At 54.8% G+C, this 17,886-nt stretch overlaps 1 protein-coding gene and 1 long non-coding RNA gene across 5 annotated transcripts; one reads left to right on the top strand and one right to left on the bottom strand.

The window, feature by feature from the left end:
* Positions 1–578: 578 nt before the first annotated feature.
* On the top strand, positions 579–15,341 carry TBC1D3E (TBC1 domain family member 3E). Of its 2 annotated transcripts, XM_006722254.3 has the most exons (15): positions 579–616; positions 1,043–1,103; positions 5,968–6,040; positions 6,203–6,288; positions 7,572–7,611; positions 8,094–8,174; positions 8,618–8,725; positions 9,055–9,164; positions 10,420–10,468; positions 11,012–11,132; positions 11,846–11,940; positions 12,325–12,390; positions 12,854–12,953; positions 13,324–13,476; positions 14,458–15,341. In XM_006722254.3, exons 3-15 carry the CDS (start codon positions 5,969–5,971, stop codon positions 15,024–15,026), a joined length of 1,650 nt encoding a protein of 549 aa, XP_006722317.1. In that variant the 5' UTR covers positions 579–616; positions 1,043–1,103; position 5,968; the 3' UTR covers positions 15,027–15,341. The 2 variants fall into 2 exon arrangements, with proteins under 2 accessions (XP_006722317.1, NP_001278395.1); NM_001291466.2 differs by lacking the exons at positions 579–616; positions 1,043–1,103 and adding an exon at positions 4,424–4,539.
* LOC102723851 (uncharacterized) lies at positions 3,508–4,334 on the bottom strand. 3 transcript variants are annotated; one of them, XR_007065736.1, is made up of 2 exons: positions 4,254–4,334; positions 3,508–3,823 (listed from the first exon to the last, which is right to left on the bottom strand). It is a non-coding gene; the product is annotated as an uncharacterized LOC102723851 (long non-coding RNA). The 3 variants fall into 3 exon arrangements; XR_007065735.1 differs by having other exon boundaries at positions 4,250–4,331; XR_007065737.1 differs by having other exon boundaries at positions 4,272–4,305.
* Positions 15,342–17,886: the final 2,545 nt, after the last annotated feature.

Genomic DNA, 17,886 nt, shown 5'->3' on the forward strand with positions numbered 1-17,886 from the left:
AAGGAAAATTCTGGACATATTTTATTGTCAGGGTCTGTTTTGTGAATACTTTAATTCTCTTGACTTAGCCTATCCCTACTTCAGTTTATATATATAAATTTTGTATCTAAAGAACTAGAGTTATAATCCTACTTCAACATATTTAATTAGGCTCCCATATAATTGTAATTCATTACAATTAGTGCAAGAAATCTAATGTTCTTCACCTCCATGTCTTCCTCATCACTCCTCTGCAACTACCCCAAAAATAAACAGAACCATAGTGGCTTCTTTCCCAGCAGAACAAAGCCAGGACTGGAACCCAAGCTCTAAGGGATGACAGGAATCATGTTCTATTCAACTTTATTATTATTAGTTACTACATTTTTTTGAGGACCATCGTTATACATTATGAGTGAGTTAAAGGCAGAAAAATGTAAGTTAGAAGGGTTTTCCTAGAAAGCGTTTTATGTAATTCAGTATTACAGGCTATCTGCTTCCTGTCATAACCCTGAATCACACTGTCTGCCAGGTCAGTGTGGGCCATCCATCTGAGGTTGATGAGATATTTGATGCTATATCATATAGCAAAGGTGCATCTGTCATCCGAATGCTGCATGACTACATTGGGGATAAGGTAAAAAAAAAAAACTTTAAGTATTTCATTCTTTCATGGTGAAATCATAAGAGTTTTGCATGAAAAAAAGTCTCACTTTATTTGGATTAAGTTCCCAAATAGTTTCTGGCTTGTCATTTTTTTTAATGACCAAAAAGAATGAGAATTCAATTATTTGAAGTTGACTACTGTGGTCTCTCAGATGAGTGATGTGCAGGTGTGTTTGGGAGTGGAAATGGGAGGCTGTTATAAAACTTAAGAGCAAGAATAGAAGGCATAGAGTACGCATTATTAAATAAAAGGCAGTAGGCATCAGAAGGATATATGTGTTTCAGTGTATCTGATACTTGAGTATTTGAGTAAATTTGTTTTTGATTACTAATATACAAATATACTATAAATTCTGAGATCTGACTTCCCTGGATTTTAAAAATTGTGTTTTCTCAGGACTTTAAGAAAGGAATGAACATGTATTTAACCAAGTTCCAACAAAAGAATGCTGCCGCAGGTAATCTTTAATAGCTTGAGATAGAAATGGAGAGAAAGTATTGTCACTCTATCCAGGCTGGGACATTTTATTTTTGTTCTGAATACTTAACTCAAGGTCAGGATCCATGTAATAAATAAATTAGCCTTATTTGAAGCTGTGTTCAGGTTGAATATCTCTAATCTGAAATTTGAAATGCTCCAGAATCTGAAACTTTTTCTTTTCTTTCTTTCTTTTTTTTTAATTAAAGTTCTAGGGTGCATGTGCACAATGTGCAGGTTTGTTACATCAGTATACATGTGCCATGTTGGTTTGCTGCACCCATTAACTCGTCATTTACATTAGGTATTTCTCCTAATGCTATCCCTCCCCCAGCCCCCTACCCCATGACAGGCCCTGGTGTCTGATGTTCCCCGCCCTGTGTTCAAGTGTTCTCATTGTTCAATTCCCACCCAAAATCTGAAACTTTTTGAGTGCCAACGTGATGCTCAAAGGAAATGCTCATTGGAACATTTTAGATTTTGGATATTGCAATTATAGATGCTCAGCTAGTAAGTATAATGCAAATATTCCAAAATCCAAAAGAAATATGAAATTCAAAACATTTCTGGTCCCAAGCATTTTGGATAAGGGACACTCAACCTGCAGTAAGTCATAGGGTCAACATGAATCAGGACTCATTATCCCTTTGGTCATCCTCCAGCATTCTGCTTTCCATAACTGAATATTTTGCCAACTTAAAGAGTCTGGGCCGGGTGTGGTGGCTCACGCCTGTAATCCTAGCACTTTGGGAGGCCAGGATGTGAGGACTGATTGAGCCCAGGAGTTCAAGACCAGCTTGCAACATAGCGAGACCCCACCTCTACAAAAAATACAAAAATATTAGCCGGGTGTGGTGGTATGTGCCTGTAGTCCCAGCTACTCAGGAGGCTGAAGTGGGAAGGGTCACTTGAGCCCAGGAGTTTGAGGTTACAGTGAGCAATCGTGGCACCACTGCACTCCAGCCTGGGCAACAGAACAAGATCCTGTCTCTGAAAAAATAAAAAATCAAGGGAATAGTCATGTGTTGCTTAACAACAGGGATATGTTCTGAGAAATATGTTGTCAGGCAATTTCATCAATATGTGAACATCATAGAATGTACTTACAGAAACCTACACAGTATGTCCTAGGCTATATACACCTAGCCTACATGGTATATACCCTGTTGCTCCTAGGCTACAAAATACCTGTACAGCATGTTACTGTACTGAATACCATAGGCAATTATAACACAATAGTATTTGTATACCTGAACATTTCTCAATATAGAAAAGTTACAGTAAAAATATGATATTAAAGATGCTCCATCAGCTGGCTGATATGCCTATAATCCGAGCACTTTGGGAGGCTGGGGCAGGTGGACTGCTTGAGTCCAGGAGTTTGATACCAGCCTGGGCACCATGCCAATACCTCGTCTCTATAAAAAGTACAAAAATTAGCTGGGTGTGGTGGCATGTGCCTGTAGTCCCAGCTACTTGGGAGGCTGAGGTAGGAGGATCATAGTTTCAAAGTGTGGCACTTACTGGTTCTCCACTCACTCCCTCCTGCCGTCTTGTGAAGAAGGTGCCTGCTTCCCCTTCCCCTTCTTCCATGATTGTAAGTTTCCGGAACTGCAAGTCAATTAAGCCTGTTTCCTTTATAAATTACCCAATCTCAGGTATTTCTTTACATCAGTGTGAAAACAAATGAATACAGTCCCCTTCCCTGAGGTGCCTTCTCCTTAGGCAACCAGCTGCCCCCATGCTCCTCTTCTGCCCCCCTGGTATTTCCTTTCCCCTCATGAGGCCCAAGTGATCCACATGGCCAGCCACAGCCCCATCCTACTGCAGGCCTGTGTGGCTGCTAGAGAGGCCAGGCTCCTTTCCGCACCCCGAGGCTGCCCGATATGCTTTCTGCATCCTGTAGAAAACTGACCCACTATTCTCATACTGGTGCAACTTCTTCCATTACCTCAAAACTGGACAACGTGAACTTGTTTCTTGTCTCTTCTTGCTAGGGCTGTCACTGGGACAGTCCGAGATGCGGGGGTGGGGGGAGACAATGGATGAATGGATGGATGAATGGACAGTAGTCCAGGGAGATGTCCCTGTGTGTCCTGAACTGGGACCTTCCTCCAATGAGAAGCCTTCCTGAGTGAGTTTATACAGTCATCCCTTGGTATCCATGGATTAGTTCTAGGGTCCCCGGGGATGCCAAAATCCATGGATCCTCAAGTCTCTGACATAACATGGCCTAGTATTTACATATCAGCTATGCACATCCTCCCGTAGACATTAGACCATCCCTGGATTATTCATGATGTGTAATACAATGCAGATGCTACATAAATGATCGTGATACTGGATTCTTTAGGGAATAATGACAAGAACAAACTCTGCACATGTTCAATAGAAACATAACCGTCCAATTTATTTTCTGAATATTTTCCATCTGCTGTTGCTGAATCTACAGATGCAGAGCTCCTGGATACGAGAGCCAAGTGTGCTTTGAGAGTAGGGTGGGTGAGGTTGCTAATGAGTACAGGGGAGCAGGTGTTGATCAGGAGGACCCTGCACTGGGGCATCTGGACGTCCTGCCTCAGGACTTGAGACTCCAGTTGGATGGCACAGGCAGACTCAGCCCAGGTCAAAGCCGTCCCCTTGAAGTTTCTTTTTATCCCAAGCTCTTTCTGGCCCCTGGAATTTGGCATCCCCTAGGCCCTGTGTGGAAGGACAGATGAACCAGGTTTTAGATAACATGTCTAGAAGAGTGAGCCCCTACTGTGTGCCCGGCACTTTCCCCACAGGATCCTCTAGCTAGAATATCCAAGGGTCATGGAGAGAAATACCCAGTTAAAATATCAGAAATGAAAAAGCGATACCATTAGAGACACTAAAAAGACCATTAGGTAATAGTACTAGCTTTTGTATTCTGAGATCCAACAGCAGCAGTCACTTCCCTCCACCCCTATGTGTATCCCAGGACCACCCTGGGCAGGGAGGGCTGAGGTTAGGGAGCAGCCATGGATGCTCTGATGCTGGCCCTGGGCCTCGGGGGTGACAGTGATGAGGAACTGGGTGCACACATGAGTGGGGCAGCCGGGCCTGGCCAGAGAAGCAGCACACAACGTGCACAGATGTGTTTACCCACATACACATGTGCACGCACGTGCACAAACACATTGCAGGCAGGCATGTTGACGCCTCAGGCAGCGGAGGACCCTGACTCTGGGCACTGCTGACCCGGGCAAGGCCCCACTGTGATTCGTGCCATGACCTCAGAATGTCACTGGTGCTTAGCACCTATCTGCTCTCTGGTCTGCCTCAGTGGTCTACAGCAGTTACACACAGGCAGTGGTATCTGTGAGCAGCTCTGTGGACTCAAAGGTTTTCTCCCTGAGAGGCATGACCCAGGCCAGCTGATTCATCAGAATCAGGTGAGCGTGACCTGCTCTCTTCCCTCCAGGCGGACTTGGGGGCAGTGGCTACGGTGCGGGCGGTGTTGGCCTCTGTGGGGCAGCTACCGAGGAGGGTCATCCCTGAGCACTCACCAGGCGCCCGTTCTACACTGCCCGTGTAGACGATTGGCTCTTTCGTCTCCATGGTGGCTTCGTAGAGTGGGTGCTGTTCCCAAATGTCCCCATTCGACAGATGAGACGTCTGGGGTCAGAGAGGCAGTAACCGGCCTGGGAATCCGGACATGATCCTGAGTTTTGCTCTCAGCCCTGCCGTGTGCTGTGCTGGAATTCAGGCCTGAACCCTGTGACCTCCCTGCCCTAGATCCCAAATCTGCCCAGGTTTCCCATCCCGATGGGGCAGAGCCTGGTCCTGGCAGAGCCACTGGTATAGAGCCACTGGTACAGATCCACTGACGGTCCTCAGAACACCTCTGTGCCCTAAGCTGGGTCCTGATGGTCGCTGTGGGCCCCACTGAACACACATGGTCCCTTGTCCGGGGGAGCCTGCTGCCCTTGGGCAGCTGTGGAAAATGAAGGAGCCCTGGAGGGCTGGCTGAGGGGAGACTATCTTCCCTTGTGTTCAAAGGGGTCCGGGCACTAGGGTTCTCCCCAGGTATTTCTTGCTCTGCGTGGTCCTCTTGAGGCCTCGCCCTCCTTTTGCCTCGAGTATTCCCAGGAGGGACGGTCCATCCAGCTGTTCTCCAGGACCAAGGACCCACTGTTCTTCCTCAGTGACCCAGGAAAATGAAGCCTCCTCCTGTTGGGACGGCTCAGAATGGTGGACTCCACAGTCCCTCCGCGAGAGACGTGGTTTCCATGCGTACAATAGATCTTTCTCATCCCCCAAACCCAACACCCTCCTGCTCAACAGGCGTTATTCCTAAAGTGGCTTCACTGTTCAGACTGAAGAGCCACGGTAGCCAAAGTGATGAGCGGAGTAGAACCGAGCAGTCGGGAGAGATCTTGTTCCCTGTAGGAAACTGGGCATCGCTGAGGCCCTGAGCATCCCAGGAGGCCGATTGCACAGAGACCTCTGGTCGCTGACCCCAGTCTGCCTCCACATCCCTGGAATAGCCCATCATGGGCCCTTCACCCTTGGCAGGTGGAAACCATTCAACCTGCTGGGGCCGGTGTGTCCCCATTTCATGGCATTGGGGGACAACAGGATTCTCTGTCTAGGTCCCACTGTACTCAAGTCCTTGGGAAGATGCCCACCCCTGCTTGGGACTTGAGACTCCAGAGACTGGAGCAGCTGTGGGCCACTGGGTCTGGCCCCTTTTTCCCTGGGGGCGGCGGTGGAATGGGGGTTACGCAGCCAGCCAGCATCTGGGAGCCCGGCGAGAGCGGTTCAGGTGTTCTCCGAAGCCGCCGCGTACGGTGTGACCTTTAGACAATTCTGTCTCACAGGATGGACGTGGTAGAGGTCGCGGGCAGTTGGTGGGCACAAGAGCGAGAGGACATCATTATGAAATACGAAAAGGTACAAGTCGGTCTGCTTCTTGGAGGGAGGCCTCTTCCAGTGTGCCCTGGTCAAAGGGTCCTGGGCTCCCTAGGAGCACAGGGCAGGGACGGGTGGCCAATGCCCCCAGGCCCTTGCACCCTTTACCTTGGACCCCTCACCAAGGCTCCCTCTGGGCTACAGGGACACCGAGCTGGGCTGCCAGAGGACAAGGGGCCTAAGCCTTTTCGAAGCTACAACAACAACGTCGATCATTTGGGGATTGTACAGTGAGTCCTCTGCACTCCCCTCACCCCTAAAGCACCTGTCTCAGCTCAGGGATGGGTTTGCTTTTAGAAAGGCCTTTCTGACGCAGGACATGTCTCACCAGGTCGGGTCAACCTCCTTTCCAGGGACAGAACTCCTCCCTGACTCCCCTGCAGGTCCAGCCCGAGGTTGTTAGGCCAGAGGTGTGGGGCCCATCTAGGGAGCCGGTGGGAATGGAGACTGGGCTAGGTCAGGCCCCTGGGCGCTCAGCAGTTCTGTCGGCAAGTGAGCACAAGAGGAGCGGGGCAGCCTGAGGGTCTGGCCCTGTCTACTTGGAGACAACCCCGGTGAGATGCAAGGGTTATGGCCACAGGGTGAGGGGACGCCTGGCCCAGCCTCAGGGCTGTTGTCCAGCAGGTCTCTGAGGGCCCACCTGCCCCTGTTCTCCCCCATTCCCCTAGAGCTACAGCCCTCACTGTCCCGTGAGGGGAAAAGGCATGGTGACAATGGGGGCTGTAGCCCTAGGAGAACGGGGGAGAAGATGGGCAGGGCCCCGTTCTGGGCATCTCACGGTGAGGCCAGGGAGGCAGCAGGGCTCGCGGCTAAAGACCTGGGTCTGGTGCTGGGAAGGGATCTGGGGCCGGGTAAGAGGAGCCCAGCCAGGAGCCCATCCCTCAGGGATCACAGGATGGAGAGACAGAGGATCCCTGGGGAGGTAGGGCGGGAGGGAGCTGACGAGCCGTGCCACTTCTGAAACGCAGGGTGTGTGGCTCGGGTGCAGGGAGAGGCAGGTGGATGCTGGGAGGTCAGAACCTGCAAGGGCCTTGGGGCTGTCAAGTGGGGTGGGCCCCTGGTGCAGCCAGAGTACACCGGGCAGGTCTCAGGGCAGGCTCCCTTGACCCTGGCGGGGGGATGTGGTCACTCCCTGAGGGACTCCTGTCAGGGCCCGGTCGCCCACCCTGGGCGGCCCCCATCCCATCTCAGGGCTAACCTTTCTCAGCTCCAGCAGAAAGCACCACCTCGAGTCCAGGACGGGCAGCCCCATTGGGCAGCCTGACCGCCCCCCACGCCAGGGGCCCCAGTAACCCCGGCCAGGCTGTCCCTACACTCCTTCTTCTCCCAGGTCCTGCCCCTCCTGGGAGTCAGCCCCACAGGAAGGCCCTTGTCCTCCCTTCCCTGTGCCTTCTCCTGGGCTGAGCCCTGAGCTGGAAAGGGACAGAGCCAGTCCTTTCTGGGGGTCGGCACCCAGGCTGGGGCCGCTCCAGGCCCCGTGCAGTTCCTCAGCTCTGCCTGGGTTGCCTTACAGTGAGACGGAGCTGCCTCCTCTGACTGCGCGGGAGGCGAAGGTAAGAGCCTGATGCGTGGAGGGGCTGGTCCAGGGACGTAGGGACTGGGCGGGTGGTCAGTGAGGCAGAGGAAGCAGCTGGCCTGAGCGGTGGCGGGTGAGGGCAACACGCTGTCACTGGGAGGGGCAGCAGTCCCTGCTGGACCTGACCCCAGGTTGCTGTTCACTTTGGCAGTTTGATAAAATTCCAAAAGGAGAACCACAGTCCTGGCTTGGGGGTGGCTGCGCGCTTGTGTCAGGACCCCACCTAGAGGCTGGGACCTAAGACTGGTGTGTCTGTGGCCTGAGGATGGTACATCCCGGGGTCCCAAAGCCAGCCCACTGGTGCTCATTTGCTCAAAGGCTCTCAGCCCTTGAGGTCTGCCCTTCCCTGGCTCCTTCCAGCTGGCTCCCACCAGGGCTCCAGAGCCCAAGACCCAGCATCCGCGGGCGGCTCTGGGAAGCCTGGCAGCTCCGCTAACTCCAACATGCCTCATTTGACAGCAAATTCGGCGGGAGATCAGCCGAAAGAGCAAGTGGGTGGATATGCTGGGAGACTGGGAGAAATACAAAAGCAGCAGAAAGGTAACGTGTGGAGGGAGGAAGCACTCTCTGCAGAGACAGGGGACAGGCACCCATGGCTGTGGCCTGGCACCATCAGCCTCTCAGAGGGTGGGCGGCACACTGTCCTCGCCCAGAGGACTGCAGGCCTGGTCGCCAGATTTCCTGCCTATTCGTGCAAGCGTCACCTTGCAGGGAGGGAATCTGAATCTAGGGCTGGGACTACCCGGAGCTCAAGGCTAGGGATGCCCTGGTGACCTGAAGGAAGGAAAAGGTTCAGATCAGAGTTTCGACTCTGAGTGTCCATCCACTCTTTCAGTCCTGGGAAGGGAGACCCTGTCCCAGCTTGATCTCACCTCTACTGAGGAATCATGGGGCCAAAACCGACAATTTCCAGAATCCCCGGGCTCTGGTCCTCACTGGGGTCACCCCGTGGCCTGTGACACCAGATCGTTTTCTGCCCACAGCTCATAGATCAAGCGTACAAGGGAATGCCCATGAACATCCGGGGCCCGATGTGGTCAGTCCTCCTGAACACTGAGGAAATGAAGTTGAAAAACCCCGGAAGATACCAGGTACGCTCAGCCAGAGCACAACAAACAGGACAGGCCGTGTCGGGGCCCAGGTCTCCAGCTGGAGGGAACGTCAAGACCACCCTGGGGAGCTGGGGGTGAAGGTCAGATGAACACCCTGGGCACAGATGGTGACACAGTCACCACAGACAAACTCAGCTCTGGTGACCCTCCCTGGCTTCAGTAACAAGCCAAAATGCAGCTTTCTGCAGAAGGAAACCTTCCTTCTGTCCTTCCTTCCCGAAGTGCTGACTGTGGGCTGACTGCCACTGGGGGCAGGGAGTCTTCCATCTGTTCTGAGACTGCTTCCTCCTCTTGGCCCTGCCCTACAGATCATGAAGGAGAAGGGCAAGAAGTCATCTGAGCACATCCAGCGCATCGACCGGGACGTAAGCGGGACATTAAGGAAGCATATATTCTTCAGGGATCGATACGGAACCAAGTAAGCCTACGGGAGCCACAGGGTCCCAGCAGAGATGGGGTGAATGAGAGGGATGGGGGCTTCCCCGGAGCAGAAGCCAGGGTCACCCAGGAGGGATGACACAGCTGCCAAGAGCTCTCCCGGCCCAGGGAGCAGCCGGCACCATGAACCGAGCACCTCCCTGGTTCCAAGCCCTGGGCCAGACTGGAACATGTGGGGCCAGAACCCAGGAGGATCCTGAGGAGATGGAAGGCAGCAAACAAAATCATGCACAATGGTGAAGGGTGCTCTCCCTGACCCATGGGGACCCATGGTAGGACCCATGGGAGGGTGGCAGGATAGAGGGCCCATGAGCCCCCGCCAGGCAACAGTGACAGCACCAAATGCTGGGAGAATTAGGGGTCCTGGAAACTCTCATCCAGGTCCGCTGGGAACATGACATGGCACAGCCACGTTGGCAGCCCGTTGGGCAGTGGCTCACAAAGCTCGATGGACTTGAACCACACATCCCCAAAGTGTCACAGATATTGAACCCACTGATTTGCAAACTGACATCCACATGAAACCAGCATGCCAGGTTCACTGCTTGACTCCTCGTCACTCACACACGGAGCCTTCGGGGACGGCCTTCAACACGGGGATGGGGAGAGCAAGGCTGGTCCTCCCTTCAAACGGAAGACCCAGTGAGAAAAGGGAACGAGCCGGTGATGCCCGCACGAACGTGGGTGGATCCTAGATGCATTTTGCTGAGGGACAGAAGCCAGACCCAATAAGCTACCACAGTAGGATTCCCATTCCTAGGCCATTCTGGAAAAGGCCAAACCACAGGGACTGAGAAGCAGTCTGGGTGGCCAGGGGCTGACGGATCGGGGAGAGGCTGGGTGCATAGGGGCCACCCTGGAGACTTGGAGGATGAAGGAGTCGCCCCAGGAGGGGCTGGAGCGGTGGCCGGGAGACTCTGCACATTGGTTTGGAACCGTGGAGGAACTGTACACCCACAGACTGAACTGGCGTGTGTGCAAACTGAAAAAAAAAAAAAAAAATCATTCAGAGTGAAAAGGATCAGGCAAGTCACTGTACAACTGGGCTATTTGCATGTCACAGATGTGGATTTTACTGAAACATTTCTTCAAGGGTCTCAGGCCCTGAAGAGCTCACTGCTTATCTGGTGAAACATCTGAACCTGAAATGGGATTTGCTGTTAGGCTTTGTAGACAAAGTGAAATTAACAACATCTGCACAAAACAAACCAAAGCCCCCTTTCTCTGTTTCCTAGGCAGCGGGAACTACTCCACATCCTCCTGGCATATGAGGAGTACAACCCGGTGAGTATTCCCGGCAGTGAGGTTCCCGGGCCATATTTCCATATTGACAGGAGTGGGTGTCTGGTGGGGGTGTCGTTGCTTCTTTTAAAGTTAGTATTTGTGACCCACCAGGATATAGGAGGTAGGATGTCAGCTCACCGCTGGCATAAACCTCCAAGGAAGGGGGTGGTCTCAAGGGGTCAAGCTGAGACACAAAGGAGTCAGGGCCTGGACTCCTGGTGTCACCTGGGCCTGACCACCACTTCTCAGAACAAGAAATGACGCCCTCCTCCTGGGGCTGCCCCAAAGCCCAGGAGCTTGGCAGCATCGCACACAGGATGGTGCTATCAGCAGACATTTTGGACAAGGTGCTGAAGTGCCTGATGGACTTGGCTCTTGTCATGAAATGAATGTGCATCCTGAGGAAGCCTCTTTTTCAGAGGAAGCCTCTCCTTCAGAGGAAGCCTCTCCAGTCACCTCTGCCCTCTCCAATGACATGAGTCCTCCCAGGTGACCTCAGCCCTCCCAGGTGATGTCCTTCCATGGTGACTCTGGCTCTTGCAGGAGGTGGGCTACTGCAGGGACCTGAGCCACATCGCCGCCTTGTTCCTCCTCTATCTTCCTGAGGAGGATGCATTCTGGGCACTGGTGCAGCTGCTGGCCAGTGAGAGGCACTCCCTGCAGGGTTAGTGAACAGCTGCCCCGGGGACCTCCTGCAGCCAGACCTGGGGATGGCCACCCTGGCCAGGTGATCACAGCTTTCAGCCAAGGCACCCTCCTTGTGTCGCCAGCTTGTTGGGAGACTTTAGGATGTCTCTGCTGAGGGTCCCACAGGAGTCCACGGCTGACCCCCAAAGCCCAAATCAGACGCCTCTCATCCCCATCAGCAGAGGGCATCTCATCCTCCCCGTGGCCACCCTCTGTGTCCTGGAGCCACGCCCTCCGGCTCTGATTCTGTGCAGCTGACTCTCCCCTCCCTGAGAGTCCTCCTGCCCTCCAGCTGCCCGGGCTCCTGCTGCCATCGGTGCCCACGAATGGGCCGACCAAGCCCAGGTGGCAGCATCTCCCCATCCCCTGTTCCCCGGCCCGACCCCACTACCAGGAGATGACCGGGAAGCCCAGCGCCCACCCAGTTCCGGCCACCCTGTCGTGGCCTGAAAGTCAGGCTTGCCCTTTTTGCACCCTGGCCCAGGAGGCCTCCAGGGGAACCTCCAGCCAGGCTCCAGGGAATGTTCCCGCCCCACCTCCCCAGGGTAAAGGCCGCATGTTGGGGTCACCAGACGGGAGGGTGGGAGGCCTTGGGGTTTGGGGGCCTCTCCAGCTGCCCAGCTCTTGCAGCTGATGGCTCCACATCTTGGGGGAAGGCTCTGATTTCATGATGGGCTGGGGGCTTCTCAGGATTTCACAGCCCAAATGGCGGGACCGTCCAGGGGCTCCAAGACCAACAGGAGCATGTGGTAGCCACGTCACAACCCAAGACCATGGGGCATCAGGTGAGTTTATGGTCCCCTCAGCTCTTCCCAGAGGCCCTGCCTCCCGTGGGGCTGTAGGAGCAGGGGGGCTGGAGCCCCTCGTGGGGCTGGTGACTGGCTGAGTCCCAGCCAGGGCCCGACCTGGGACGTCGGGTTCTCCATGGGCTGGGAGTTGGTTTCCTTTCCTGCCCTGGAGGAGACAGAGGCACAGGGATGGGGGCCCAGCTCCCGCAGAGCAGGGCAAAGGGCAGTGTGTCCACCGGGAGTGTGGGAAGGTGACAGTGTTGTGGGGAGCTCTGGACACCGCCCAGTGTTCTGCACTAGGGGAAGGGTCTTCAGAGGCCCTGGAAGAGGGAGGTTTTTAGGGCAGCCCAGTGGCCTGAGCACCTCTGTTGCTTCCATCAGGACAAGAAAGATCTATGTGGGCAGTGTTCCCCGTTAGGCTGCCTCATCCGGATATTGATTGACGGGGTAAGGAGGCATAGGGAGACCCTGGCTCAGGGACCTTCCTTGCCCTGCAGTGCCCTGCTTCCCCAGCCCGGGGGTCTGGCTCACTCCCAGCCCACAGGAGGCTCAGGCGGGTCCCCAAAGGACACACAAGCAAAACCCTCTGCCCAAGGGGGGTCATCCCAGGGCCATGGCTGGGGCTCAGGCCCAGCCTCATGGGCAGACTGGGCCAGGACCCGACTTGAGAGGGCTCAGGGAAGCCTCAAGCCCTGGGCAAGCCCCTCTCTCCAGGAGCCACATCCCCACTCAAATGAGTGCCCCCCATGAGGAGCTTCAAGACCTTGTCTGACCCAGCGTCCTGGAGGGCTCAGGCGACCCTCATGGGGAAGGTCACTGACTCTGGAGACTGAAGCCCCAGTGTGCGCAGCTCGAGCCACCAGCCCCAGCCTGGAAGGACCAGGTTCTTTCACACCTGCTGTCCCCACAGATCTCTCTCGGGCTCACCCTGCGCCTGTGGGACGTGTATCTGGTAGAAGGCGAACAGGCGCTGATGCCGATAACAAGAATCGCCTTTAAGGTTCAGCAGAGTAAGTCTACGTGTGCCCAGCGGGGCCTGGGGAGCCCTGGGGTCAGACCCCGACTGGCCCGAGGGCAGCTTCCTCACACTGTCCTCATGATCCTCTGTTCTGGCCCAGAGGGAGGTCTGGCCAGGTGGGCTGGGCAGGACACTGTGACACCGAGCCCATCCCCCACATGACCCAGATGAAAGTCGAGAGTGTGGTGAGCACTTCCCTGTCCGGATCGCCCCCCAGCCACAGTCTCCTGTGTGTATCTGGACACCTGGGGTGGCCACAAAAGGATCCGGCACCGCCCAGTAGGAGACTGAAGTGGCCACGGGGTATGAGCTGTGACCATTCCCAGGTAACTCCCCTGGCCTGATATCCACCCTGTCCCTAGAGCGCCTCACGAAGACGTCCAGGTGTGGCCCGTGGGCACGTTTTTGCAACCGGTTCGTTGATACCTGGGCCAGGGATGAGGACACTGTGCTCAAGCATCTTAGGGCCTCTATGAAGAAACTAACAAGAAAGAAGGGGGACCTGCCACCCCCAGGTGGGCTCCAGTGCCATGTCCCCTCCCATGTCACCCTCTGGGGTAGTCAGTAGTAGGGGAGTGCCCGGGACCCGCAACCCTACTACCTGGGCCTTCCTCTTCACCTTTTCTTCCTCCTCTTCCTCCTGGACTCTAAGAAAGTACAGGAGGCCCACCGGTCCTCAGGGCAGGCGCTCAGTGCGTGTATACTGGACATGCTGTGCACGCAGGAGGGGGATGTGGGCAAGACCCTCCAACAAGCCCCCTCCCACTTTCCACGGTGTCTCCCTCTCCCCCTCGCAGGGCCCTCCAAGTTACTAGACGAGCCCAGACCCATTTGTGGGAGACCCCGCCCCTCCCTGCAAGCACCCACAGCCTCAGAGAGCAGCAGAGGCCCCTCACTCCTGCACGCTCCTCCAAGGTTGCCAGGACAAGAAGCCTGGAGCCAGGGAGACAAGGGAATCCGTGTCCCTGACCCACAGAGCATTCAGGGAGAGGGCACAGGCGGGACCCCGGGCCCAGAGCCAGAGCCAAGAGTTCAGCCAGAAGTGGGAACGGTCAGTCCTGGCATGGACTGGGCAGCCCAGGAGGGCAGAGGGTGACCCACGTCCGGGCCCAATCACCCACTGCGGAGACGGGTCCCCACGTGAGGTGACAAGGGGCTGGGTGACATCCAAGGCCCCTCCCACCTGAGTTCTGACTGGGGGCCGTATCCCAGGCCCAACAGCCCTGGGACGAAGGTGTGTGGCAGGAAGCCCCCAGCCAGTCTGAACCCTGGGGGCAGTCCCAGGAGCCACCCGCCATGCCACGACAGCTTCCCCACGCCAGGCAGCACGCACCCCTCCCTCTGGGATCAGCAGACTACAGGCGTGTCCTCGGTGTCAGGCCACGGGGGCCACACAGAGACCCCGAGGACTCCAGAGACGCAGGCAGGTGGGGCCCAGCCCGGAAAGGCCTGCGTGGGCTCACTGGAGATGCTGACCGCGTCTGTTTTCCTTTCAGCCAAACCCGAGCAAGGGTCGTCGGCATCCAGGCCTGTGCCGGCTTCACGTGGCGGGAAGACCCTCTGCAAGGGGGACAGGCAGGCCCCTCCAGGCCCACCAGCCCGGTTCCCGCGGCCCATTTGGTCAGCTTCCCCGCCACGGGCACCTCGTTCTTCCACACCCTGTCCTGGTGGGGCTGTCCGGGAAGACACCTACCCTGTGGGCACTCAGGGTGTGCCCAGCCCGGCCCTGGCTCAGGGAGGACCTCAGGGTTCCTGGAGATTCCTGCAGTGGAACTCCATGCCCCGCCTCCCAACGGACCTGGACGTAGAGGGCCCTTGGTTCCGCCATTATGATTTCAGACAGAGCTGCTGGGTCCGTGCCATATCCCAGGAGGACCAGCTGGCCCCCTGCTGGCAGGCTGAACACCCTGCGGAGCGGGTGAGATCGGCTTTCGCTGCACCCAGCACTGATTCCGACCAGGGCACCCCCTTCAGAGCTAGGGACGAACAGCAGTGTGCTCCCACCTCAGGGCCTTGCCTCTGCGGCCTCCACTTGGAAAGTTCTCAGTTCCCTCCAGGCTTCTAGAAGCATCTGGGCCAGGGCTCATGGCTGGATAATTTCCCTAGGCTTAACAACCCAAGCAAGCTTCGCATCCTCGTTTTATTTTTGGTTAAACTTATGAAAATGTATTAAGAAAGAGTGCAGCTCGAGAGAGATTCAGAGATGGAACACACCAGACCCCAGATCACAAAGCCAACCATGCCCAGCCCCTCCCAGCACCCCCAGCCCCACGACCATCGTTCTGAATTCTGACGACACCGTGAGCCTGCCTTTGTACTTCAAACTCATGGAAGGATAACCACCTTCATGTTTTGAAATAAATGTTTCCTGTTGAAATGATTTTAGATTTTAGACAGAAATATTGAAAAGGCACTATAGTATCCTCCTATACCTTCCATCCAGCTGCCCCTAATAATGATGTTTTGCAGTCCCATGGCACATAAGAAATTTAGGCCGGGTGTGGTGGCTCACACCTGTAATCCCAGCAATTTGAGAGGTCGAGGCGGGAGGTTCAGGTTCACTTGAGTCTAGAAGTCTGAGACCAGCCTGGGAAACCTAGGTGGACCCGGTCTCTAGAGAAAAGTCAAAGAAATTAGCCAGGCATGGTGGCGTGTGCCTATAGTCCCACCTAGTCAGGAGGCTGAGGCAGGAGGATTGCTGGAGCCCACGAGTTCCAGGAAGCAGTGAGCCATGATTGCACCACTGCACTCCAGCCTGGGTGACAGAGTGAGACTTTATCTCTTAAAAAAATTTAAGAAATTTAATGTGGGTACAGTTCTATTAACTAAATAATAATGTGAACTATTATCTAAGGTTATGAAGGCTAGAATTATCCCATTTTTGCCTAACTTCTCGTACCTGTCCCAAGATCCCACCTTGGACTCACCCTCTGCCTTCAGCTCACGTCTCTTCAGCTTCCTCCACATGGTCCAGCAAACACACACCTGGGCTGAATGGTAGAGCTGATCGCTCATACACAAAGGTAGACCGGTGGGCAGGGATTTTCAGACTTACACAGTCAATGAGTTTTCCTTGGTGTTCTGGAGAGCACCGTTTGAGAAACACTTTGACAGTGAATCTAGGCCTCAAGATCCATCAGCTGCTCTAGCTTGAATTTTGCTCAAGCTCAGTGAACACCTGCTCTGCCGGGTGCACGTGAAAGGGGCAAGGATGAGAAAGCTGTAGATAAAGAAGACAGGACGCAGGGGGTCTGTCTAAGCTCTATCCCCTGCCTTCAGCACTGAGGGATGAAATCCAACTCTTAGGGAACGGTGGCCACGTGCTGGGCCAGCCCCAGGCTCTCAGGATCTGACAGTGGGTGACGCAGAGCCAGGCCTTGCCCCTGGGGAGCTCTCCAGCATACACCTCCCTCTCCCCTCCCAGCGTGCCGCAAAGCAGGCGTCAACGCCATTGTTAATGCACGGAGGAGGAAGCTGACTGTTAGACCTGGGTTTTCCAGGGTTGCACGGCTTCTGGGAGACGGATGTGACCCTGAGGACAGGGCACAGGCCAGTGTAATGCCAGGATGGAATGAGCTGTGATCTGTGCTGTATAGAGGCCTAGGCCAAGGTGGGACTGACGGATGACCAGGTCAGCCGGGTCACTGAAAACACTCTTGGGTCCTCACCTGCCGGTTCCCAGGAGTCCGGAACTGCCAGGAGAGTGGTGGCAGGTCCCCCATCCTCAGCTGGGTGGGCCTGGATAGAACAGCAAGGCGAGGGCACATTTCCCTGGCCATTCCCTCCAGGCACAGCCGTGACCTGTTCATTCCAAATTTGTGGAAGTATTTCCACACACACAGAACTGCAAATAGCAGTGGACATGGTGAGAGGCGTTTGCACATGGGATAGGCAGGATTTTGGAGGCAGAGCCTCCAGGGCTTGCCGATGGGTTAGCTGCAGGGCTTGAGAGGGAACGGAGAATCCAGGATGATGTGTTCAAATCGGTCCATTCACCTCTTCCGTTCCACGCCTGTGCTGGGCACTGGGAGAGACAGATGCACACAGGAGCCCCGGCCGAGGGGAGGTGTCGGGGGAAGCCCAGAGTGTCTGGGCAGGGTAGGAAACCCAGAGCGTCTACTGGGAGCTGAAGGCTTAGGTCCACCTGGGTGCCGTCCAGGTTCTCTGCATGTAGAAGTATAGGCTGAGCTTCCCGGAGGAGGAGCAGCTGCTGTTGCTGGTGACCAGCACATTCAGGAACGGAGACTACTCTGTCAACAGACAGGGGGATGACCTGAGGTCTGGATGGTCTAGGGGGTGGTAGGGCCCAGGAGGACCCAGGAAAGGGTCTCGGGGATGCAGAACATCCTATGGAGGGCATTTGGGAGTCAGTGCTCAGGCCACTCCGGGTCACGCAGGTCATTTGCCGGCCTCTGTCATAATTATTGCCATATGAGAGTGCCACCTTTCCTGTGACATAATTTAGACATTCCTGTGAATGGCCTACCTGTTTATATTTACAACTTCATGTTTAAAGGAAATTTGTATCACTCTCATAAATGGAAAGCCAGCAAAACATAAATTCAATGAAAACAAAATGAAGTCAATGAACTTTAGCTAGATACTATTCCCTGACCAAGGCCTGCTGGAGGCCGTACAACCGGGGTTTGAATTGAGATCTGCCAAGCTTCTGAGTTTATTCTGTTTCCCCCACACCAAGGATCCTCAATACTGCATTACTGACATCAGGGGCCAGACAATTCTTTGCGATGGGGGCTGTCCTGCACCTGGCAGGATGTTTAGCAGCTTCTCTGGCCTCCACCCACTGGATGCCAGGGGAATGCAGAAGAGGCTTGCTTATTCTCCCATTTAATGCTCAGGACAATATCTGACATCAATGTTACGTCTTTTATTTTATAAATGAAGACAATGAGACTCAGAAAGGT

Source organism: Homo sapiens, chromosome 17 (genome assembly GCF_000001405.40).
Source record: "Homo sapiens chromosome 17, GRCh38.p14 Primary Assembly".
Lineage (NCBI taxonomy): Eukaryota > Metazoa > Chordata > Mammalia > Primates > Hominidae > Homo > Homo sapiens.